We start from the raw sequence: 26,393 nt of genomic DNA, 5'->3' as shown, positions 1-26,393 counted from the left end.
ATTCTCCTGCCTCAGCCTCCCGAGTAGCTGGGATTACAGGCACCTGCCACCACGTCCGGCTAATTTTTGTATTTTTAGTAGAGACGGGGTTTCACCATGTTGTACAGGCCGGTCTCAAACTCCTGGCCTCAAGTGATCCGCCCGCCTTGCCCTCCCAAAGTGCTGGGATTACAGGCGTGAGCCACTGCGCCGGACCAGTACCTGGATTTTTTAAAGTTAGTATTTACTTTAAAGTGTAGAAAGACAAAAAATAACTAGGGCCTCAAACCCATGATATCTTGGATACTCTTACTTGGATACTTAAGACATATACTTGGATACTTGAGGCAATGCTAAAATAAGTTTTTGGGTTAAGAAAAAGGTGAATCAATGTCAATAAAAATATTCTTTCAGTAAATATATTCTTTAATATGTTTATTTTTATTATCTATATTTTTATGTCTTTATTGATACAGTATTTATCTTATCTAGGCTATGGTAAACAACTGGGGTTTAGGAAACTCTATGCTAGGGTAAAAAAAATTGGGGGGCACAGATGTGGTGGCTCATGCCTATAATCCCAGCACTTTGGAAGGCCGAGGCAGGAGGACCACTTGAGCCCAGGAGTTCGAGACCAGCCTGGGCCACAAATTAAAACCCCATCTCTGTTAAAAAAATAAAAAATAAAAAATTAGCCAGATGTAGTAGCATGTGCCTGTAGTCCCAGTTACTTGGGAGGCTGAGCTCAGAGGATCACTTGAGTCCCAGGAGTTCGAGGCTGCAGTGAGCGATGATCATGCCACTGCACTCCAGCCTGGGTGACAGAGCAAGACCCTGTCTCAAAAATAAATAAATAAATACAAATAAATAAATGATTTTTAAAAAATTAATACATACCTGGGAGGGCTAACTTGTCACCCTTGAGATTTCTGCCCTGAGAGATGAGCCTGGGCAGAGAAGCCCAGACGGACAGAGCTCCACAGTGGGGTATGAGAAGCCAGTGGCCACACCAAACATATTGTTTTTTTCTGGGCAGAATCCCTGGGGCTGCATCTGAAGCCTCCTCCTGATGTGATGGTCTCAGAGCTCCCAAGGCAGGCACAGCCAACACCTGGCATTGCCTATTTTTGCCCAGGAAAGGGAGTGAGCCTGCAGGCAACCTTCCTAGGCAAGTGGGAGAAGCCTCCCTCAATGCACCAGGGGCTGGGGGCAAATCCCACCTACAGTCTCTGCATCTCTAAGAAGTTTGCTGAGGTAAGTTAGTGCAGCCCCAGTGAGATAGAACATACCTTCAAAAAAAAATCCTGTCCATTTCCTGAAAGACAAGCTGACAAGCCAGGATCTTCCCACCTCCTCCAGGGAACGACAAAAAAAAAAAAAAACAGGGATGGAAGGCGAGATGGAAACGAAGATGGAGCAAGTTAAATGCAGCAGGGCCTTTTAATCCCTCTGCACTTACATTTGGGACTCTCAGGCACTTGGCACTTTTCTGAGCTGCCTAAAATGAGGGCCATTCAGAACGCCTCACTGCAACAGGGAGATACACGTGGGTCGGGGTGGAGCAGGAGTGGAGGGCAGGCGAGAGGGTTCCTAGACTTGAAGACTTCAGGGGATTAGGGAGGTGACAGGCATCTTCTGCAGGGACTGCTGCCAGCCCTCCACCCCTCCCGCCCCCAAGTCTGTGTCCAGCCTTCGCCTGTTGCTGCTGACCTGAGTCTCTCACAATGACGCAGTTCACTGCTCTGGACATGTGGGAAGTGGGTGGAGGAGGGGTTGGCAGGTCTGGTCCCCACCAACTGCCACCTTGCCGGGTGTCAGCAGAACAGCAGGTGGGTCCAAAAGGAAGAAGTTTGCCCACATTGGCATCTGGCAGCATCACGCTGCAGCTTCCATGATATAAATACAGGGAGTGAAAATAGCTAATCCCAGATAACAGCGGTGTAATCACCCAGCACCCGGCCTTGAATCCCAGAGCATTTGGAGGAAGCAGCTGCGGGGCTGCCCCCTTCAGCGGCCACTGCCCCTGGGTGGCCTGGGCTGAGAGTCTAAGCCAGAACAAAGCTGGAGAGCGGAGAGCAACTGGAAGAAAGAGACCTGATGAAAAGCACCTCTAATCACAGCTTGGCCTGGGATGGGATGATTTTTCTAGAGGCACCATGAAAATTCTGAGCTTCCAGCAATGTGAACCTGGTCTCCCTGCTCTTTGTTGAGACACGTGATGATATACATGGGATCATCTAAGTTCGGGGTTTGGTTGTTTTTTTAACCTCTGGGTATTATCATCATGAGTATATTATTGTCCTCTAGTTTGGGAGGGTCAGGGCCTCTCCCAGGCTCCTCTTACATCTGGCCCTGAGCACCAGGGTGGTCGATCTGTGGCCATAACCCCAGGTTTCTGACTTCAGTTCTGAGGCACTAGCCACTCAGAGTAGTTACCCCTGAGGATCCAGAAGGCAGCTCGCAGCCACCACTCCTGTGGTGACCAGAAACTGTCTGGGAGAAGCCACTGGGCTTTGCTGTCCTCAGTCATTATGCTCCAACAAGACATTAAATGAGGGCTGGCGGAGATGGCGTGAAGAGCTCAGGCGCTCCTCCTGTCCCATGTAGGGCGCTATTCGATTGTCTGGCTGCTAGCTGATGGACAAGCCATCCCCAGCCACCAGTGACCTGGCTTCCTAGTTGCACTTCTGAAGGCTGTGGGCACTCAGATCCCTTCCGATGGGTCATGAGGCACCCTCTCTCTCAGACGCAGAGAGCCGACAGAGCTGGCCGGCACTGGAGCCGCCTTGGGCTGAGCTACGACGTGAGGACCCTAAGACAGAGAGGCCGCAGAGGTGCCCAGAGGAAGGGTGGAGAGCTGGGCCTCAGAAGGAATTCTCCTGTGAGCACCCAAGATATGTGATTCCTTACAGAACCGGCGTTACTATACGTGGGAAAAGGAGAGAGGAACCGCCCAGAACAAACCAGAAGGAAGGGGAAACAGAAACATGTGTCACCTACATGCAATCTAGGAGTGGGGATGAACAGGACTCTTGACTGGTTTCTGAGAGGCTGTTCTCTGATTCTCTAGATTAGAGAACGCAGCTTATTATGAATAATGTTATTTTTGTTTGGAGTTTCACGTCACTTTATTAAACAAGTGTTTCCTTTAGTCAACCACAGATGAAAGTCACTGTGCTCTCAACTTCTAATAAGATCATAAAGATCAGTCATGAGTATTTCAGTGAAAGCAAAACATAAGCCGCACAAATCTCTGAGCCCCAAACTCGAAGTTGTAAATGGTTGGGAGACTGAGGTGGGTGGATAACTAGACCCAGGAGTTCGAGACAAGCCTGGGCAACATAGTGAAACCGTGTCTCAAAAAAAAAAGAAAAGAACATTTTTCAAGTGCTGCAAATGGAGTGGGTGGACAGCTTGCCCACCTCAGAGTCCCATCAGCTCACCAGCAATAGAGACCTTGTCCAAAGAGGGTCCCATGAAGTTGTAATGCCACCCTGGGCCACCACAGGAACCTCAGCTCCCAAAATCAAATTTGAAGAGAATATTTGCTGATATGAGGAAATGCGTATAATTTTAAATTAGGTAGAAAATCAGAACAGGCCGGGCATGGTGGTTCATGCCTGTAATCCCAGAACTTTGAGAGGCCAAGGCAGGAGGATCATTTGGGCCCAGGAGTTCAAGACCAGCTTGGGCGGCATAGCAAGACACCTTCTCTACAAAAAAAAATTTTTAATTAGCCAAGCAGGGTGGCAGGTGCCTATAGTCCCAGCTACTCAGGAGGCTAAGCAAAGAGGATTGCTTGAGCCCAGGAGGTAGAGGCTGCAGTGAGCTCTGATTGCTCTACTTCACTCCAGCCTGGGCGACACAGTGAGACCCCCATCTCAAACATGAAAAATCAGAACAGAAATTGCATACAATATGATCTCAACTATGTAAAATATATATACAGAAAAACAATAAAAAGCAACACACCTAAATATTGTCTGATACTACATTTCAATTAACACATAAAATAAAGAATAATATGACTTTTTATTGACTATGGCAAGCAACTGAGGTTTAGGAAATTTTACATTAGGATATTCATTCAAAAAAAAAAAACTTAAAAAATATATACAAGCATGTATATATTTTTTATATACCAGGCACAGTGGCTCATGCTTGTAATCTCAGCCCTTTGGGAGGCTGAGGTGGGAGAATCACTTGAGCCCAGGAGTTTGAGGTGGCAGTGAACCATGACTGCACCACTGCAGTCCAGCCCTAAACAGAAGATGACACTGGTTCCCTACTTTACCCTGCAGGTGAACGCCACAAGGTTCTATGTAGAGCCTCTTCCTGATCCCATCTTCTTCCGCCTTGGCTTGGACACTGCTCACCCACTAAGATCCTTGGTAACGGACTGAGATCAGAGATGACAGTTGACATAGGATCTATGGTGGGATATTAACTATAGTGCAATCTAACCATATCTGAGTCTCTTACTCCGCATCAAAACCTTTTTCCTGAAATACTTAACAGAGAACAACCAAAAAATACATATAAGAGAATAAAAAGAGAAGGAAATCACCATTCATCGAATGTATGCTAAGTGCCAAAAATTATTTTTCAAACATTATGTATTTTCTTTAATGCAGCCCTCAAAACAGCTTAGAGGATAAGATGCTCTCCTTTTTGTGGATGAGAAAACTAAGTCTCATGGAAGTTGATTAACTTGCCCAAAGTCACCCAGGTAAAAGTGGTCGAGCAAAGTTCAAATCTGGTGAGTCTGACACCAAAGCCCAATGTCTTTGCCCCCAAGCCCTTTGCTCCCTGCCCCTGAAAGGACTTAAATACACAACAAAAGCAATGAGTGGGTAGGAAGACGAGAAGGAATATAAGCTGAGATTGACAAGATTCCAGGTGGTTGGAATAAAACCTTTGGGTTTTGGATTCCAGGTGGTTGGAATAAAAGCTGCTAATAAAACCTTTATTAGCAGATGTTTTAGCATTGTGGAAGCGTGCGAGCTTAGAAAAAGAAAGCCAGAGAAGGAAAAAAAGTGAAGAAGTAAAAAGCAAAAGCTCAGGGAAGCATTGTGGAATGAGCCTCTCAGCTCCACATTTCTGCCTACTACTCCAGAAATGGATTTCTCTGGCCAGTCTGAAACTGCGGGAATCCGCTGCCTATGAAATGAACAGAACCAAGTCTTCCATCTCCGCCAAACAGGCAACTCCGCCGTAATCTAATCACACCCCTTGAAGCCCCAGCCAGCAATCTCTTTCCCTCACCCTGTCACAAATGCCATCACGTTGCATCACCGCCTCCCTCACATGCACAGCCCGGGCAGGACACTGGGACCTGTCTTGGCCACACATCCACAGTTCGGCAGGGTCAGCCCTGGTTCTGCGCAGTTCACAAAGGCCAAAACAAGTGTGAGCCCCAGAGGGGCCCCTGCCAGGTGGCAGGCTGAGCTGCCCAGGGAGGTCAAGGTTTGGAGGTTTTCTTTTAACCAAGTCCAGGGATCCTCACTGCTGCACACTGTGGGGTCTGCTCACGGAAAGTTATTAGACACAAAAACTAAAGAAAAAGAACTAACCCGGGGACGCTTCCTGAAATGCAATTATGGGGGAAAAGAAATGAGAAAAAGTACGATAAAAACTCACCTGATCATCCAGATTCAAGATTTGACTTGCAGAATGGTGTACCATTAACCTGCCTGATGTTTAGAAAGCAACAAAAGAGACCACCTGATGCAAATTGCTCTGGGCACCTGCACCCTGGGGCTGGGAGTCAACAAGGGCCCTCCTTCCCACAGGGCTCAGATGCCTTGGGAAATCTAGGGTGTAGGACCTGGGCTTTAGCACCTCACATTTACACTGGGTTCCAGGTTTCCATGTAGCTTATCCCATTTGCTCCTGCAATAATCCAGGAGGCAGGTAAGCCCAGTGTTAACAATCTAATTTGACAAATGAAGAAAGAAAAGCACATGTGACCCAAAGTTTTTTTTTTTTTTTTTTTTTGAGACAGAATCTCGCTCTATCGCCCAGGCTGCAGTGCAGTGGTGCCATCTTGGCTCACTGCAACCTCCGTTTCCTGGGTTCAAGCAGTTCTCCCTGCCTCAGCCTCCCGTGTAGCTGGGATTACAGGCGCCTGCCACCACACCTGGCTAATTTTTGTATTTTTAGTAGAGACAGGGTTTTACCATGTTGGCCAGGCTGGTCTCGAACTCCTGACCTCAAGTGACCCGCCCACCTCGGCCTCCCAAAGTGCTGGGATTACAGGGGTGAGCCACCGTGCCCAACCTCAACCCAAGGTCGTAGAAGTAATTAGTTACCATGCTGAGACTAGAACTAATAAAATCTGGAAGGGTGAACTCCCATTATCAGTAATAGCAAAGTACGTAATTCAGACTGCCCTCCATTCCACTGAGGACAACTGGGAATGCTGCAGAATAAGTAAATCCTAAATCAGACAAATGGGAAAAAAATCACGAAATGTCTTGGAATACATAATGAAGAGGGATATTGTCAAGCCCTCTCTGTTACTTTGCCCAGCACATTTAGAATTGAGGGTTATTAATCGATTCAAAGTAAATAATGAAATTAACCTGCCCTTCATCTCAATAAATGTAAAATAATAAGCCAGGAGTGGTGGCACACACCTGTAGTCCCAGCTACATGGGAGGCTGAGGCACGAGGATCACTTAAGCCTAGGAGTTCAAGGCTGCAGTGCACTAGAAGGGCACCTTTGAATAGTCAGTGCACTCCAGGCAGGGCAACAGAGCAAGACCCTGTCTGTAAAAGAATAAAATAAATGTAAAATAATTTATGATGATGGTGATTCTTAAATGATGATCACTTTGTCTCAGGTGTAAGGATTTGTCACTAAAGCATACAAAAGTAAAATAAACTGAAAGAAAAATCTGTATAGACTGTGAGAATTTTATTGGTCAGATGAAATGAAAAAGATTATCAGCTTATTTTGCTGCTGTTTATAAGCATCTGTTGTACGCTTTTAATAAATTTGATAATTATTCAAAATAAAAAAAAAAACCGAACTGCTTAAAGACACCAGAGAGCTACAAAATAGTGAAGAATAACCAGCCAGGACCCAAAGGAAGGAGGAAGCCGTGCGAAGTGAGTCTGTCCTTTGAGCTACCCTGGGCCTGGCAGCGTGGGCCAATTCTACCATGGCTGGCAGAGAGGCTGGGTGGACTTTCAAGAGCCTCACGGGGCTAAAGGGGCAGGGACGAATGTGAAGCTTACCAAGATTAGAGTTGAGATTCATCTTGAACTGGGATTCTAAAGGGAAGCTCCCTACAAGTAAATGTGACCCAGAAGCAGACAGGCCCTTGCAGAGACCATGGCTCCACTTCAGGTATTCTAAACCCCCGAAATTAGATTTCAGTAAACCTAAATTGTCGGTGCCCCAGGAGCCTAGCAGAGACAAACATAAATCTTCTTAGGAGGAAAATATCATCATCTGAAGCCTATAATTAGTTCTGCAAGCAATTTTTCAAATGCAATGTCCAAAACACAGTAAAAAATAATAAGCAAATAAATAAGACACAAAGAATACAAAGCAGTATTTTTTAAAGAAAGAAAAATTAAATATAGAAAAATCAACTAATAATAAAGAGGCTGGGCATGGTGGCTCATACCCATAATCCCAGCACTTTGGGAGGCAAGAGGATTGCTTGAGCCCAGGAGTTTGAGGCCAACACTAGTCAGAGTTCATACACAGTCATTTCTACAATACACTATTGGTTACCAGGTCAGTCCTACTCACTGTTGGAGGGGAGTAGGAGCTTCAGTTCTCCATGTGGCCTCCTATCCTTCCAGAATATCAGGAATTGAGAATCACCAAGGTCCGTCTTGGAAGCTGGCTACCACAGGTGGCCAGAGTGGAACTGAATTTTTTCTCACACTCCAGTAGATGGAACAAAATAGCAATGCTGAGAGAGGAAGTACAGAAATGGAAATTAGCTGGGCATGGTGGCACTTAGTCCCACCTACTTGGGAGACTGAGGTAGGAGGATCACTTGAACCCAGGAGGTCCAGGCTGCAGTGAGCCATGATTGCACCAATACACTCCAGCCTGGGTGACACAGACCCTGTCTCCAAAAAAAGGAAAGCAGAAGAACAAGACTGCTAAGATAATAAAGTAATAATAACAGTATGATATCATCAGTAGCTATCACTTATCAAATGCTTCTCTGGCAGTGGGCAATGGCCAAGATCTTTCCATACTCTCTCACTGAGGCAACAAATTACACTCCATGGCCCAAATCTAGCCCACCACCTGATTTTGTAAATCAAGTCTTATTAGAACACAGCCATATCCATTTGAATACATACTGTCTATGACTACTTTCACCTACAACAGCAGAGTTGAGTAATCGTGACAGAAACCATAGGATCTGCCAAGCCTGAAATATTTACTGTGTACCCCTCACCAGAAAAAAATTTGCTGATCTGTTGTCCATCTCATTAAAACCTCATAATAAATCCCATGAAGTGAGTGATATTACTTTCCTTATTTGATAGAAGAGGAAACAGAGGATCATATAAGTGAAGTGACTTGCCCAAGATCATGTCTGTCATAAGTAGCAGAGTAAGGTTCATACCCAGGCAGCCTGACTTCAGGATCCGAGTTGCACTGGGCTAGGAATCAGAAAGGCTGGCTTTTCTGAGTAGCTATGTGGCAATTATTTAAGGTCTTGCTCCTCATTTTTCTCTGCCGAGAGGATAGATGTTTAAATGTCTGTTCAGCTATTTCACAGGAAGATCAAATGATAAATATAAAAGTGGAACAAAGAAGCAGCTAGTCTTCTTAATTTGTGATGCTAGGGCAGGAAGAAGAGCTCTGAAAGAAATGGCTAGAGGAGAAGTCGCTCGGTTACCTCTGCACAACCCAAAACTTACTGGCTTAAAGCAACAGTGGTTGATTGTGGCTCATGATTTTGTGAGTTGGCTGGGTGGTTCCTCAGCTGGTTCCCCACGAACTCATTTATTCAGCTGCATTCAACTGGAACAGTGGTTCTCAACCAGGGATGACTGGGGACTCTGTTGGTAGGTGCTGCTGGTACCTGGTGGGTAGAGGCCAGGGATGCTGCAAACCCTACACAGGAGAGCCTCCACAACAAAGAATTATCTGGCCCTAAATGTCAATAGTGCTGAGGTTGAGAAATCTGAGCTGGAAAGTCAACTGGGATGGAAAATTCAAGATGCCCTCACTCGTGAGTCTGGTAGGTGGTGCTGGCAGTTGGCTGGGGGCCTCAGTTCTCTTCCATGTAGTCTCTCATCCTCCAGGAGGCTAGACTAACTTTGCTGCAACATGGTCTCAGGGCAGAATTCCAAATGAGTGAAGGTGGAAGCTGCAAGGCTTCTTGAGATCTGGGCTCTGGAACTCACCCAATGTTGTTGCCATCACATTCTCTTTTTTTTGTTGTTGTTGTTGTTGTTGGTTTGTTTTTGTTTTTGTTTTTGTTTTTTGAGACAGAGCCTTGCTTTGTCGCCCAGGCTGGAGTGCAGTGGCATAATCACGGCTCACTGCAGCCTCAATCTCCCAGGCTCAAGCGATCCTCCCACCTCAGCCTCTCAAGTAGCTGGGACTACAGTGTGTACCACCACACCCAGCTAACTTTTTGTGTTTTTTGTAGAGATGGGGTTTTACCAAGTTGCCCAGACTGGTCTTGAACTCCAGGCTGGTCTTGAACTCCAAGAGGCCTTGAGTGCTGGGCTCAAGCAATCCACCTGCTTCAGCCTCCCAAAGTGCTGGGATTACAGGCATGAGCCACCACACCTGGCCTGTTTCCATCACATTCTATTGACCAAAGCAAGTCACAAGATTAGCCCAGGCTGGAGTGCAGTGGCATAATCACGGCTCACTGCAGCCTCAACCTCCGAGGCTCAAGCGATCCTCCCACCTCAGCCTCTCAAGTAGCTGGGACTACAGTGTGTACCACCACACCCAGCTAACTTTTTGTGTTTTTTGTAGAGATGGGGTTTTACCAAGTTGCCCAGACTGGTCTTGAACTCCAGGCTGGTCTTGAACTCCAAGAGGCCTTGAGTGCTGGGCTCAAGCAATCCACCTGCTTCAGCCTCCCAAAGTGCTGGGATTACAGGCATGAGCCACCACACCTGGCCTGTTTCCATCACATTCTATTGACCAAAGCAAGTCACAAGATTAGCCCAGGCTGGGTGCGGTGGCTTGTGCCTGTAATTTCAGCACTTTAGGAGGCCAAGGCAGGAGGATGGCTGGAGGCCAGGAATTCAAGACTAGCCTGGGCAACATAGTGAGACCCCATTTCTACAAAAAAATTTTTTAAATGAGCCAGATGTGATGGTGCATGCCTGCAGTCACAGCTACATGGGAGGCTGAGGCTGCAGTGAGCCATGATTGCACCATTGTACTCCAGCCTGGGCAACAGAACAATACTGCATCTCAAAAAAAAAGAAAGAAAGAAAGAAAGAAGATCAGCCCAGATTCAAGGAGTAGAGATCTAGACTCCATCTCTGCTGGGGAGGAGGAGAAAAGTCACATTGCAAAGGGGGTAAACACTGGGATCGGAAGAATCCGTGGCTATTAAACCATTATCTACTACAAGAAGTAAGATTAACTATATTTCCACTTTAGCTACATAGCTCAGGGGACAGCTCTATGCCAGTGGTTCTCAAAGTGTGGTCCTCAGACCTGCAGTATGAATATCCCCTCAGAACTTATTAGAAGTGCAAATCCTTGGGAGGCTGAGGTGGGTGGATCACCTGAGGTCAGGAGTTTGAGACCAACCTGGACAATATGGCGAAACCCCTCCTCTACTAAAAATACAAAAATTAGCAGGGCATGGTGGGATGCACCTGTAATCCCAGCTACTAGGGAGGCTGAGGCAGGAGAATTGCTTGAACCCAGGAGACAGAGGTTGCAGTGAGCTGAGATCGCGCCACGGCACACCAGCCTGGGTAACAAGAGCAGAACTCTGTCTTAAAAAAAAAAAAAAAAAAAAGAGAAAGAAAAGAAAATTATAAGGCTCCAAATCAGAAATGTGGGGTGGGGCCCAGCAATCTGTGTGTTAGCAAGCTCCCCAAAAGATCCTGACTCTCAATCAAGTTTGGAAGCCACCAGCCTAAGGTAAGCAACCAGATCAGAAACCTCTCCATGCCCAGGTCTCTAGCTTGAATGTTGGTGGAGGCCAAAACATCCCTCCCCTCCTATCCCCTACCTCTCCATGGGTCTCTGCCATTTGCCTGAGGATAAAGTGCTGTCTTTAGGCCAGGTGTGGTGGCTTACACCTGTAATCCCAGCACTTTAGGAGGCCAAGGTGGGAGGATCGCTTGATGCCAGGAGTTCAAGGCCAGCCTGGGCAACATAGCAAGACTTCATCTGCATAAAAGTTAAAAGTTAATTTTGTGTCAAACTCTTATAGAAAATAAACAAGAAAGAAAGAAAAATTAAAATAAATAAAAACTGTTTTTAAATGCTCTCTTTAATAATGGAGTTTAGTAGAAACACTCTTTATATAGATGGTTCCCGACTTACAATGGCTCAACTTATGATTTTTCTACTGTAAAATGGTGTAAAAGCAATAAGATTTCAGTAGATTTCAGATTTTGGACTTTGATCTTTTCCCAGGCTAGCGATGTAGGTACAGTACTCTAGCAATGCTTCACAGTATCGTGAGTATGAGAGATATTCACCATGAGAGGACATGAGATGTTCAACACTTTCTTATAAAATAGGCTTTGTGTGAGATGGTTTTGCTCAGCTGTAGGCTAATGGAAGCGTTCTGTAGGCTAAGCTATGATGCTCGGTACTGTAGGTGTATGGAACGCATTTTACTTAACAATATTTCCAATCTATACTGGTTTCATCTGGACATAAGTCGAGGGGCATCTGTACTCAAAAGGGAAAGGTGTCAACAGCCAACGAGAGGGCAGAAGCCTGCAGCAGCTATTGCCCAACAGAGTCCGTGGGGCGGGGGTAGCAGGGAGTCAGCTCCCTCATCAGGAGCTGGACAAGAGGAACCAGATCAATTTTTTAGTTTTTGCTGCTAAAAATACAAGTGGGAAAAAACTTTAATGTTAAATAAAATAAATAAATAAGGTTTTTTGTTTTTTTTTTTTACACACGTACACACACACACTAGCAGAGCACATTTAGAATTTTTATCCCCAGCCCGGAACTTAAATTTACATCATGACCCAGAAGCAGAAACTGACTAAACCACTGCCGGTGACTGCTGGCAGAAAGTTGGAAGAAAACAATAAAAAGCTCTGTCTTCCAACACCACCAGGCTCTGCAGCCTCTGGGCCAAATCAGTGTTAGGACAGTCAAGATCCCAAGCTACCCTTGAGTCCCCCTCTGATGACTATGCCTCTGACTATGCCTCTGGTTGTTTTTGTTTGTTTCTTTGGGTTTGTTGTTGTTTTCAGGAAATTACCAAATCAGCCTCCAACCTGGGTAACACCAGCTGATAAAGCGACTCCTTTGCAAGGCTGGTGTCTGCATGGGAACATGAAAACCCAAGGCTATCCCTGTGTGCCGGAAAAGCATCAGACCAGAGGCCATGGTAAGAACAGGCATGGGCCTCTGCACCTCTCCCAGCCTTCCAACAAGGTCTCTTGAGGGAGGAGGGTGACGTGAGGGTGACATGTGGCCGACTTCTGCCCCTGACAGCATCCACACGGTGCAAATCAAGATGAACCAGATCCCCGGCAGACCACACAGTCCAAGCAAAGGACGCAGTCATTGTTTAGCACATCCATGGCTCAGCAGTTGGAAATATCCACCGTCTCCAGCACAGGTACTAAATGGGCTACTGTTAGAACCTTCTGGGGATCGCAGATTTGGGAGAGGAGTAGGTAAGAGAATTTTATTGTTATTAAAGTAAGTCTTTCTGGCCAGCAACAGTGGCTCACACCTGTAATCCCAACACTTTGGGAGGCTGAGGCAGGAGGATCGCTTGAGCCCAGGAGTTGCAGGCCAGCCTGGGCAACACAGAGAAACCCCATCTCTACATAAAATTTTTAAAACATTAGCCAGGTATGGTGGCTCACACCTGTGGCCCCAGCTACTTGGGAGGCTCCGGTGGGAAGATCACTTGAGCCCAGGAGGTGGAAGCTTTAGTGAGCTGAGATCACGCCAGTGCACTCCAGCCTAGGCACCAGAGCAAGTCCCTATCTCAAAATATACAAAAAATAGCAAATGATAAAGCAATGCTTTCTGACCATTGGCTCTGTCTTAGCACAGTAGAGGCTGCTTTCCAAGGCACTGGGGGTGTGAGAGGAAGAGGCAAGACCGTAACAATCAATTGCTGGGGATGCTACAATGAGGATTTAGGGACTGGATAGAAATTTAAACAGAGAAGTTTCCAAACAGGAGCCACCATGAGGTCAGGGGGAGCCGGTATTGAAAGCCCCGAGTGCCAGGCCTCTGCTACGCTCAGTCCTTCTGTTTGATGTATTGGGATTTTGCATAAACATATCATTTGCTATGAGTGTTCCATTGCTTTAAAGCAAAAAACTCGAAAACAACTGGATAAGCACTAATGTTCCTTTTAACTTCCAGATTGTAATGTTCTGTGTTTTAAGTATGTGGGTGCCCAGAGTGTTCAATAATACCCAAAACATAATCATCCTCCTTATCCTCATGTACAACATATAAATATAAACTATTACTATACATAAACAACCCAACCTCAACACTCATTTCCCCTTCCACTGAAAAACTGAAGATCATCTTCTTTGGTTTGAACAGGCAGAGAGGAGCGCTTTCGTTAATGACCTTTTACTTTTCGTCGCTAGGAGAAAACGGTGATGACATCTTTTTGGCCAGATGGAACTGATGGAAGATTTATGGAGCAGCTGAGAACTGTCAGAGCCAGGCAGAGCCCAGAAGACAGTGACCGTGGCCTTTTCATCAGGGAGCACACTGTTTTCTGGACTCTGCTAACACAAGAGAGCCCTATCTACCCAGTCATCAGTGAGGTTATCCCAATACCCCACCAGCTGCTGCCACCCAATCTGGAGGCCTGCGCTCCTGCTCTTGAGAGATGGCATGTGACTGCACAGGAGCCTCAGCCCCCCCTTGCCCCAGTCTGGCACCCAGGGCCCTCCCAGAGTGGGAAACCTCATCCAATGCCTTCTCAGTTACAGAGATTTCAGAAATTAGTCACAGAAAGGAGGGCGGGAAGAGAGTGGAGGTTTCCCGAAGGAGCCGGTAACAGTATCTGGGGTCTTTCCCCTCAAGGTCACAGCAGTTCGATTGTCCCTGAGTTAGCCACGAGTGGTCAAGAATGAAATCAACCTCTGCAAACCCTCTGCTGACTTGCCCACCATTTACTCTACAAAGAGCTCCTATGGGGTAGGGCCTCCCACAAATGAGACTCCTCATTCACTGAGCCTTTCTCTTTGGATATTTTCATTGCTTACCCTGTCCCTTCCCCCAGCCTCAGGGGGCTACCCCAATGCCCACCAGTTACCGGACAGAAGGAAAGGGTGAAGCTGGAGGCTGGATTCCAGCATTTGTTTGAGACAGTCTTGGACTGACTTCAGATCCTCATCTTGTGAAGCATCTCCTATTAAAACACGCATTCGGACTCTGTCTCTGGCCCTAGTGACCAAATGTCCAAAATCTGCACAGGGCAGTCTGAGTCTGTACCTCTTCATATCCTGGAATCATTACTGCTATCATTGTCTTTCACTCTCAAAGTTCCCATGTGGACAATAAACCATACAGTTACCCGACATTTCACTACATCATCACCTATGTTTTTCAGGAAGAATCTGAGAAACCCCAAATAGTTCTGCATGCCAAGAGATGTGGGATTAAAAACAAGCCAAAAAGCAATGATGTTCATTGGTTAGTAACAGGGAAGCCAGAGAAACAAGTCAAATGTCCACCAATAGGAAATGGTTTAATAAACCATGGCTTGTCAGTATGGAATATTATGCATCCCTTTAAAGGGAAAAAGTGGATCTATATGTCCTGATGTAGAAAGATCTCTGAAACAGGCTGGTAAGAGAAAAAAGCAAACCGTAGGTCAATGCAAAATGAATGATCCCTGTTATCTTTTCTTGTAATTATACGTGCAGAGGCGCATATGTATGCATATAAATGCATAGGGAAAGGTCTAGGACAACATTGTCTAATAGAAACAGAATGTGGCCGGGCACAATGGCTCAGGCCTGTAATTGCTATACTTCAGGAGGCAGAAGCAGGAGGATTACCTGAGGCCAGGAGTTTGAGAGCAGTCTGGGCAACAAATCGAGACCCTATCTCTACCAAAACAAAAATGTTTTAATTAGTACGGTGCAATGGCATGAGCCTGTAGTCTCAGCTACTCGGGAGGCTGAGGCAGGAGGATTGCTTGAGCCCAGGAGTTCAAGGCTGTAGTGAGCTGTGATCGTACCACTGCACTCCAGCCTGGGTGATCACAGAGTGAGACCCTGTCTTAAAAAAAAGAAAGAGAGAAAGAAAGATAATGTGAGCCACATATATCATTGAAAATTTTCTAGTATCCATATTTTTACAAAGTGAAATTTATTTTATGTAAACCAATGTATCCAAAATATTACGCAAGTCAATTATAAAAAAATTAATGAACTATTTTACCTTTTTTATACTAAATTCTCAAAATTATGCTTCCAGTGATCTCAATTCATTTCAGCCTCATTTCAGGGGCTCGGCAGCCACATGTATTATTGAATAGCACACATCTAGAAAGACACACAGCTAACAGGTAAGAAGGGTTATCTCTGAGGAGAGACGTGAGACTAGGGAAATAGAGTGATTCGTATAGAATTTGAAATGTTTACAATGAGAATTTATTCCTTACTTATAGAGGCTTATAAAACAATAAAAACTTTTAATGTTTAAACATAAGGAGCAAGAACATGAAATGCAAAGCAAAACCTATATGTGGCTATGAGGAAACAGCATTAGATTTATCAGCCAAAAAGAGAGTTTGCATATTCTTTTTAATATTTGGTCCCCCCCATCCCCCGGGGCTGGCCCTCTGGCTGTGGGGCTTCGCTAGCTTGCCGGGGCACCCCACAGCAAGCCTCCAGAGGGCTGCCTGGCTTGGTTTCCCCATCTAGAAACAGGAAGCCCTGGCTGCCTCCCTGAGGAGTCTGTCATCTCAGGAAAGCAGGATGGTGCTCTCGAATACTCACACGGAAGGTTTAAGTCTGTCTGTCAAAGTGCAGATCCGAAAACCAGTGCCATCAAAATAGCCTGGCGTGTTTGTTTCAAAATGCAGGCTCCTGGGCCAGGCGTTGTGGCTTATGCCTATAATCCTAGCACTTTGGGAAGCTGAGGCGGGAGGATCGCTTGAGGCCAGCAGTTTGAGACCAGCCTGGGCAACGCAGGGAAACCCTGTCTCTATTACACATACTTTTTAATTTTTTTAAGTTTTTTTTTTTTTAATGCAGACTCCTGAGACCTACTAAATAGGAATTTCTGAAGGGAGCCCAAGAATCTGCATTGAGCAAGAATTCCAGGTGATTCTTAAGCCCAACTGAGATACCATGGGTTATCATTCTCTTCTGGCCTTTTTCCCAATGCTGAGGATTCCTGGCTAGAATCTGATTCCAGCTCAAATCCTGCTGACAAAGCCTGGGAGAAGACAGGAAATCCAAACACTCTGAGCTCCCCCTGCCCCACTGGTGGTCCGAGTGCAATGGTGTTTACAACTAATTGGTCACAACCAGTTACAGGTTTCTTTATTCCTTCTCCATTCCCACTGCTTCACTTGACTAGCCTTTAAAACAAAAAAAAAGGAAAGAAAGAAAGTACTTTTTTTTTTTTAAGAGATAAAGTCTAGTCCTGTTGCCCAGGCTGGAGTGCAATGGTGCAATCATGGCTCACTGCAGCCTCAACTTCTGGGTTCAAGCAGGAGTCCGGTCAGATTTTTTTATTTTTTGTAGAGAATGGGTGTCACTGTGTTGTTCAGGCTGGTCTGGAACTCCTGGCCTCAAGCAATCCTCTCTCCTTGACCTCCCAATTAACTGGGATTACAAGTGTGAACCACCATGCCCAGCTGATATTATTTTTAATTGACAAATCATAAATGTATATATTTATAGGGTACAATGCAATGTTTCAATATATGTATGTGGTATGGAACAACTAACTCAAGCTAATCAATATATCCATCACCTTGCTTACCTAATTTTTTATGGTGAGACATTTGAAATCTGCAGTTAGTCATTCTAAAGTGTATAATACATTAATACTGACTACAGCCCCCTGCTGTGCAATGATGTCAAAACCTATTCCTCCTTTGTGTCTGAAACTTTGTACCTTTTGATCAACAACTCTCTACTCCCATTTTCACAACTGAAGGAAGGGGCTGGTTGGCACACAAAGCTCAGGAGAGACAGATTATCCACAGGACTCCTCCCGGGTACTCTTTCCCCTGCTTCACAGGAATCTGACACAGAATGACTTACCACCCACTCACCCCCACTCAGCCACCCTTAGCTGGTTAACAGAAAGGCATTCTCCCCATAGTTAAACATGCAAATGAACGTTTCCATCAAAGCTGAACGTCCTTTAAAAAGCTGGTGCCCATTCTCCTTCCCTAACACCTGGCCACTGTCAGTCTCCATGTGGATGAGAGACAGAAAGAGAGACATTTTCCTTCTCCCCACACCCAGAACCCTTCCCTCCCAGGCCAGGCTGGGCATATTCCCTCAGACTTGGAAACCCTCCTTGCCCTTGAAGGTCATCTCTCTCTCTCCCCCTCTATCTCTCCATCTCTCCTCTGTCAACTGTCTCTTTCTTCTCTCAATCTCCTCCCCCTTCTCTCTCTCTTTCTGTCTTTCTCTCTCTCTGTCTCTCTCTCCCCCTCGCCCCCTTCTCTGTTTCCCCTCTCTCTCAATCCCTCTGTTTTTCTTTCTCAATCTCTCTTTCTCTTTCTGTCTCCCTCTAATATGAGAGACAGAAAATTGGGTCCAATTTTCCAAAATATTGGTTCTGTGTCCCCACCCAAATCTCAATCGAATTGTAATACCCTTGTGTCTAGGGAGGGACCTGGTGGAAGGTGACTGGATCATGGGGTGGTTTCCCCCATGCTGTTCTCATGATAGTGAGGGAGTTCCCCACAAGATGTGATGGTTTAAAAGTGTGGCACTTCCCCACTCTCTCGCTTTCTCTTGCCACCATGTATGACGTCCCTTGCTTCCCCTTCACTTTCTGCCATGATCGTAAGTTTCCTGAGGCCTCCCCAGCCCTGTGGAACTGTGAGTCAATTAAACCTCTTTCCTTTATAAATTACCCAGTCTCAGGTAGTTCTTTATAGCAGTGTGAAGACGGACTAATAACCCTCCCTCTCTCTTCTGCTTTTCTAGGAGAAGCCCCACGAGCAGCGAAGGAAAGAGAAGCAGAAAAAAAGTGGGCAGGTGAACCTTTGTCAGGGGCACCCCGCTACGGAGGAAGGTCAAGGTGAGGTTCAGGAGAGCCGAGACCAGCCCCAAGGAGGTGTGGCGTGCAGCAGCATTAACCACCTGTCCAGATGTTCTGCAGTTGTGGAAAATCTTTCCTGTCATATCACCCTGCCTGCCGCTCTCCAGAGGACAGGGGACAGCAGTCACCACAGAAACCTGGGCAGAATCTGCACACAGTCCCAGGCCCCCTCCACGAACTCCTGAGGATGTGCTGGGGCCAGGACACCATCTCCAAAGAAAAATAAAAGGATGGTACTGCTGCAGCTTAAAATTATGTAGTGTTTGCCAAGTCCAAGGCTTTCCTTTCTGCGGGCCTGGACCCCCAGATGCCATGTCCCTTAGTTGCCTCCTGACTCCATCTCCCCCTGAGGCCCTGCAGAAGGAGAAACAAGCAGGTGGACTTGAACGGGGCCAAATGAAAGCCTGAATCATGCACAATCAGAGAAACAAACTCCCCGTGCAGGAGGCAGTGCACACGCAGAGGGACTTGCTGTAAAGTCACTGCTCAGTGTGGTCCATATTTATCAATCAGCAAGCATTTGTTGGACACTTGCAACCTGCCAAGAAGTGTGCTAAGAATGTGTTCTCCACCTTCAAATGCCTGAAGACCAGGCCATGTGAAAGAAGGCACTTAACAAACTGAAAAGCAGTGCGCAGAGACAGGGATGACTTATTCCGCCTGATTGTCATTATGGTCGCTTCATAGTTGCAGCAACAAAGTGCTTTCTGATGCCTCCTCTGCTCTCCACCCCCACATTCCCCAAGCTCAACTCCAGCCGACAATCCTTGCCAATGCCACTCCAGAGCTTTTTAAAAGGGGACAAGGGGGTACACAAAGGAAACTCTAAGGCCCACTGACTCCCTCCTTTTGTGGCTATTCGGGGTTTTAAATTCTGGAAGAAGCGGGAGGGGAGCTAAAATTAGAGCCAAGATAAAGACACTGTCCAGGTGGAAAGCTGGAGATTGTCCAGGATCAGCTTTCCTCGAGCAGGGCCCTCTGCCTTTTCTTCCTTAACAGCCCTTTGTTCTCTACGCTGGAATACCCCTGTTACCAAAATGCTACCGACAGGTGCTGTTTCTTTAGCACCTACTACTGGGCAAGCAGTACACTAACCCGTTCTATTTGGACCACGTTCCGGTTATCTAACTGCTGCATAACAAACAATCCCAGAACTCAGTGGTATGAAAACAAACGTTTCATTATGCTCACTGATTTTGAGGGTTGGAAGTTTGGAGAGGACACAACAGGGATGAGTTTTCTCTGCTCTATGAAGCCTGGGGCCTCAGCTATGAAGACTGGATCAACCAGTGGGGCGAAGTAGCTCACGCCTGTAATCCTAGCACTTTAGGAGGCTGAGGCAGGCAGATCACCTGGGGTCAGGAGTTCGAGACCAGCCTGGCCAACATGGTGAAACCCCCGTCTCTAAAATTAGCCGGGTGTGGCCGCATGTGCCTGTATTCCCAGCTACTCAGGAGGTTAAGACAGGAGAATTGCTTAAACTTGGGAGGCGGAGGTTGCAGTGAGCCGAGATCGTGTCACTGCACTCCAGCCTGGGAGACATACCAAAAAAAGACCTGTCAAAAACAACAACAACAACAACAAAACCTGGATCAGCTAGGTGCTGGAATCATCTGGAAGCTTCCTCACTCACACATCTGGCACCTGCACTGGAACGACTAGAAGGCTGGCTTAGCTAGAACTGTCCACCACAGTGTCCTACCTGTGGCCTCTTTCTATAGCTTGAGCTTCTTCACAGCTCAAGGGAGTCAGTCTCTCACACAGTAGCTCAGGGATCCAAGAGCAAATGCTCCAGTAAACAGAAAAGAAGGTAAGTGGCTTTTTCTGACCTACAGCTTGCAGTCTCATGGTGCCACTTCCTTAGTACTCTATTGGTTGAGGCAGTAGAAAAATTGCTGTATTGAAAGCGGGAGGACATAGACCCTACCTCTCAATCAGAAGAGTGGCAAAGAATCTGAGGCTATATTTTACAATGTTATCTTCTTTAGTTCTCACAAATAATCTTTTGACAAAGTACAAGTATTATCCCATTTGACAGATAAGAACACTGAGGTTCAGGGAGATTAAACAATTCCATGCAGTAGGTTGCAGCCCTACTCCAGAGCCTGAGTCTGCCCATCAGATTTCCCGCCTGGCTGATGTTCTCCTTTCTTCTGGATCCTCCCCAAGTCCCCTCCACCCACCAGCCCAAACTCAAGGCACCTCTTCTTCCTCACTTCTTTCTGTTGGATTACCTGCTCTCAATTTCCTTCTTCCCTGGGAGTAGCCAGTGGCACTCCCTCCTCCATTCCATCTTTGCCAGCCTGGGGCCCAGGATGGAAGCTTCAAGGAAGGCAGTCCCCCAGGTTTCCCCAGTCTCTGAAGCCAGCTACTTACAGACTCTTCATACTCTACAAGGCTAGAGTGGGATAGGCCTCTGTCCTCTGGAATCCCCACTGCCTCGGGCCAGCTGTAAGGGAGGTTAGGGCCCTGACATTGCTCTTGACCAGTCCCAACTGGGAATCAAACACCCCACCCCGTGTTTGAGTGGCCCCTTCGTACATTATCATCAAGTGTCTTCAACTAAAAAATGAACGTTTTGAAAAGACAAACGGGAGAATGGCAAAAATATTTGCAGCACAAAATAAAATGACAAAGGGTTCCTAAGATCTCAATAGATCAAAGATGAAAACAGATAATACCTTTTCTTTTCAATTTTTTCCCTAACTCCCCAAACTTGTTAAGATAACACCTCTTTAAAAAGAAAAATACAAACGGGTTTAAAACACTGAAAAATAGGCCAAGCACAGTGGCCCACATCTGTAATCCCAGCACTGTGGGAGGCCAATGTAGGAGGACCGCTTGAGCCCAAGGAGTTCCAGATCAGCCTGGGCAACGTGGCTAGACCCTGTCTCTACAAAAATTTTAAAAACTAGTCAGTCATGGTGGTGGTGCACGCCTGTAGTCCCAGCTACTCAGAAGGCTGAGACTGAAGGATCACTCGAGCCCAGGAGTTCAAGACCAGCCTGGGAAACATAGGGAGACCCCTCTCTCTCCACAAAAAATTTAAAAACTAGCCAGGTGTGGTGGCAAACACCTGTAGTCCCAGCTACTCAGAAGGCTGAGGTGGGAGGATCACTTGAGCCTGGAAAGTAGAGGCTACAGTGAGCCGTGATCACACCACTGCACTCCAGCCTGGGAGACAGAGTGAGACCCTGTCAAATAAATAAACAAACAAATAATGATTAAAATAACTAAAACTAATTTTATGCTATTTTCACCTTGTATTTTGTAAAGATTTTTAAAATGAAAATTCCCAAATTGCTTTCCAGAAGGATTGTTCAAAATTATACCCACATTTCACTCATGTTCTCTTCCTGAACAGCAGCAATCAGGAAAAACTCCCTGGAAGAGGCAGGGCTTAGACTGAGATTTTAAAAGGGGGTAGGCCTCAGCTCTCCTTCCAGGTTTACACTGTGCATGTTTCCAAACTCAAAGAATTTACACTCTTCTGGTTGCATTGCTCTGTAAAGATCTGACCCACTACTATGTATTAAAAAGGGATGCATGATAATGAATTCAGCCCTCTCTGTAAAATCCAAAGGGTCCTATTGCAGTTTCCCCCATTTAATGGGTCATTAAAATATTCTTGGGAAGGACAAAGCTTTAGTTAACTATGAGAAAAACAAGCAGAACCAGCCCTGGATTCTGTCTTCAAAGATTTTACCATGTTGGCAGGCCTGGTAGTCCAGAGCCCAAGAAAATATCCCAGCCACAGATACCCTAGATGTAGACTAGCAGTGCTACAACCTCAAGGTCAGAAGTATGTCACTAGACCAGAGCCAAAAATAGGTGCTATATCATTAAGAGAGTAAAAATGCAAACCACAGACAGGGTGACATTATTCACAATAAGCATATAACCCACAGGGGACTCCTATCTGAATATGCAAAGAACTCTCACTAATCAATAAGAAAAAGGCAAAAGATTTAAACAGGCACTTCACAAAAAAAGTATATTCAAAAAATCAATAAACATTTGAAAAGATCCTCAATTCACTAGTTATTAGGGAAAGGTGAAATAAAACCACAATGAGACACCCCCACGCCCCCACCAGAACGGCTTAAAATCTAAAACATGTAATACCGAATGTTTGCAAGGATGCGGAGAAACTGCCATTTTTGTACACTGCCAGTATGAGGGTAAATCTGTACAACCAGGTTGGAAAACGCTGAGTAGAATGTACTCTAGCTGGATTTGTGAATATCATATGATCCAGCAATTCTACTCCTAGAAATTTACCCAACAGAAATGTGTAAACATGTTCACCAAAAGACACACGCAAGACAATTCATAGAGGCACTCACTATTCCTAACAGTCAAAAACTGGAAACTACCCAAATGTCCATCAGCAGAGAATGGCGATAAACAGTAGCATCTTCACATAATGAAATGTTTCGACAGCAATGAAAAGTAGCTAGCTACAACTACAAACAATGTGATTGAACCTCACAAACATATACTAAGTAAAATTATCAGACACAAAGAGTGTATATACTGTATTTAGATACATGTGAAGTCTGAAAACAGGCAAAACTATTCTGTTGTTAGAAGTCAGAATAGTTACTGCCCTGCCGGGAAACAGAACTCAAGAGGGCTTAGTAGCTACTGGTAATGTTCTGCTTCCTGAACTGCATGCTAGTGAGGCAGCTGTTATTTTGTGCAGTCCTGTGTTACACTGGAGTTAAAAGTTCCCCCAAAATCAGAAAGTGTTCAGCAAGTGGAAGCAAGTACACTGCTGGACTTGGCTGGGAACTTAGGGGATCCCATAATTTGTCACAGGCACAAGCAAAGCCAGCTTTCTTGCCCTAAGTAGCATCTCCCAGAGTCAGGATCCAGGAATGGTTTGGCAGGCAGGATGCAAGGCAGGATTCGGGAGTGGCTGAGAGTTTTCCCAGTGCCACCTGGTCCCACCTCCCCTCTCCCACTTCTAATGAACGGGCAGTACAGCTTCTGTTAGGAAAAGAGCCTGGGTCCCTAGGCGATGACTGTCACATCTAGGGAGAGGGCGATGCACTGGGGTCCTCACCTACACCCCCCTTGGCTGTCTCACCACTCTGAATTATAAATGCCCGGACTTCCTCATCTCCCACCCACACATCTTGTTAGAAGAAAAGAAACGAATCTCCCAGGGCTCCTTCTAACAAAAGTGTTCATTCAGAGTAGCCCTGCTTGAGGGCCCCTGGCCTGGAGGAGTGGGAGAGGCAGCCCTCCCCCTCCAGGAGAGTCATCTCCAGGGCTACCCAGGACTGAGTAACTAGGTCACCAGAGTAACCAAAGAGGCCAGGAGACAAGGGCATTCAAGCATTGGGCCAGGAATGGGAGGGTGATGTCCAGTTCATGTTCTTCTGGTTCCAGCATAGCACACGGTGCAAATGAACCATCATGCAAGAAAACACAGCTAGTCTCCCTTCCTCCACCAGCAACCTTTGGTTACTGATAATAATCAAATTCACTATTTTTTTTTTTTTTTAACTAAGGCTGAGATAATGTCAAAGGACCACAGGGAATAGGAAGGCCTAAACCAAGGCCTTAAAGAATGAGAAGAAGATTCATTCAAAAAAGCCTCCTAAGGGAGGAAGATGTTTTTCCCTCCTTTACTTTTCTACAGTAATTTTTATTTTGGATAAATAAACCCTGATAAATGAGAACCCACGCTTTCCCAAGGCCAGGCTGTGTTTTGGTGGGTGGTCCTCCGTCAGCAGTTGGAGTAATCCAGAGTGATCCCGGGCAAGTCGGAAGGGAGCAAGTCTGTGTTGAAGCCAAGAGGTATCTTTCCCTACAGCTTCTCAAGAGAGGGGATCCCCGTGGGTAATTGTGAGGCTGGAAACACCGAGAGGCTGACTCCCATGTTTATAGAGGTCATTGATGGGTTTGTGCATGGAAGGCAGGAGGAGACTGAGAGTGCTTTGTTATTGTTATTTGGTTTATTTTTATTTTTAAAAAACTGGATACAGCCGACTTTGAATACAGAAAATGAAAAATGAGGAGATTTGCATAACAGCGCTTGGACGTCTGAAGGGGCCCAGGGCCTAGCGGCTGGTGGGGCACCTAGAAACACTTCTGCCTGCAGATCGCGGAGGGTTAGCCACAGGAAGGGGTCGCCTAGGCTGGCCACAGGGCCTTTGCTGTGACTGAAGGACCAGCCTTGGCGGCACCTTCTTTCCCCTCTGCCCTGCACTCCGGCCCCGCCGGAGTCAGAGCTGACTTGCTGCAGGTTGGGGAGAGGACAGAGGCTAGGACGGTGGCGAAACCTCACCTCGTCGCAGTCCGGAAGGTAAACTTGGACCCGGCAGGCACTTCCTAAAGTCCAAGCTGCCCTCTCTGAAGAATAAACCTGATTTTCCTCCGGACGCGGACAAAGGAGGATTCGCTCACAACTAGCCTGTAACAAAGATTCCCTATTTTCGTGGTTAGGAAAAAAAAAAAAAAGGAAGCCCTCCGGGAGAGACATGCGCCCTAATATTTCTCCCAGATGGGCCGGTTTCAGCGCGTTTGAGAGTTTGCTCTCCTACCAGCCTCGGGTTCTAGGCCCCCCGCACCCTCATCCTGGCTCCCGCCCCTTCTCTCCACCCTCCCGGACCCCTAAAGGGGCGGCGGGGCCCAAGCCGAGGGCGCTGCGCCTGACCCCGAGCGGAAGGGCCCCAGTCTAGGTCCTAATGCGGGTGGCGTCTCCTTTGACAGGCGGCGTTTGGGGACAACAGCGGGGACGAGAGATAAGGTGACATACCAGAGCAGATTTGGTGCGCGCGCTGATACTCCTCTCCCGACAGGAAACGCGGAGCTATTTAAAAGACCCTATCGATTACTTTATCTTTCCTGGAGGAAAGCTTCTTGCGGAGAGACAAAAGATGTTCCCTGCCTAAAGACACAAGGCCACACAACGGAGGGTCTGCACAGGCGACGCACAATTCGGCGCGGGGAAAGCAAAAACACACTGACGCTTAGAGTGCACAAACGTGTGTGTTCCCAGAGCAGCTCCAGAGTGCGGCAGGGACGCTGGGGGCGGCGAGGGGCACCCACAGTATGGTCTTCTGTGCCCTTGGAAAGTTTTTTTTCACCGTATGCGCGTAAAACACGCACACACAGAGAAAGTGACTGTGCACTTAGGGCGCCTGTGTGTACCCGTGTCGTTTTAGCGAATTTAAAGCACATCAGGCCGGGCGCCATGGCTCACGCCTGTAATCCCAGCACTTTAGGAGGCCGAGGCGGGCCGATCACCTGAGGTCGGGAGTTCGACACCAGCCTGGCCAACATGGTGAAACCCTGTCTCTACAAAAAATACAAAAATTAGCCGGGCATGGTGATGCGTGCCTGTGATCCCAGCTACTCGGGAGGCTGAGGCAGGAGAATCGCTTGAACCCGGGAGGCGGAGGTTGCAGTGAGCCGAGATCACACCACTGCACTCCAGCCTGGGCGACAAGAGCGAAATTCCGTCTCAAAAAAATAAAATAAAATAAAATGAATAAATAAAGCACATCAACTCCACATTCAAAGCGGGTTACTGGTGGCTGTAGATGTATCCCATAGACACAGGTCTAAAATGTAAACGCTCCATTGTGCTCCTTTTAAGGGCTTGAATGTCTGCAACTGTCATGTGTACACTTAAAGTATGGGATGTGTCAACACGACCCTTTCTAGCGCGCTCGTTTCGTGTCTGAATCCCCGCATTTCGCCAATTTGCTTGGAGCGCAGAACGCCCTCCGCGAAAGGCGGCTGCTGATCCCGACTTTGCTCCGGTATCGCGCAGCTTGTTGGCCTCCGGGTCCCCCGTGCCATGCCCCCGGGAGGCTCTCCACAGACACCGCTTGCGCCGAATTATACGAGACTGAATGGGTTTTTTTGGTGTGTGTGTGCAACACAACAATTTGTCAGCTGCTGTTCACAATGCGCTCCGCCGGGCGGTGGAAACTTGGCTGCGGTAACGCACAGC

General features: G+C 46.6%; 1 long non-coding RNA gene across 1 annotated transcript in view, besides 2 other annotated features; it reads right to left on the bottom strand.

Annotated features, from left to right (window-relative positions):
* LOC105377731 (uncharacterized) overlaps positions 1-1,677 on the bottom strand; it is a 29,006-nt gene extending 27,329 nt beyond the window's left edge. The window contains exon 1 of the long non-coding RNA XR_941237.3: positions 1,269-1,677. This is a non-coding gene — a long non-coding RNA (uncharacterized LOC105377731). The remainder of the gene's footprint in view (positions 1-1,268) is intronic.
* Positions 944-5,712: an enhancer, noted in NCBI's record as "VISTA enhancer hs2185". NCBI's record gives its function as "enhancer in: heart[4/6]" and the evidence as "EXISTENCE:transgenic organism evidence [ECO:0001131][PMID:17130149]".
* Positions 25,165-25,901: an enhancer, noted in NCBI's record as "H3K4me1 hESC enhancer chr5:172672012-172672748 (GRCh37/hg19 assembly coordinates)". NCBI's record gives its function as "activates a minimal SCP1, AML or CMV promoter by ChIP-STARR-seq in naive H9 embryonic stem cells {active_cell/tissue: H9 hESC(naive)}" and the evidence as "EXISTENCE:reporter gene assay evidence [ECO:0000049][PMID:30033119]".

This window comes from Homo sapiens, chromosome 5, assembly GCF_000001405.40.
Source record: "Homo sapiens chromosome 5, GRCh38.p14 Primary Assembly".
Taxonomy (NCBI): domain Eukaryota; kingdom Metazoa; phylum Chordata; class Mammalia; order Primates; family Hominidae; genus Homo; species Homo sapiens.
Note: the sequence above shows the minus strand (reverse complement) of the source record. Positions and strands in the feature narration are given on the sequence as shown.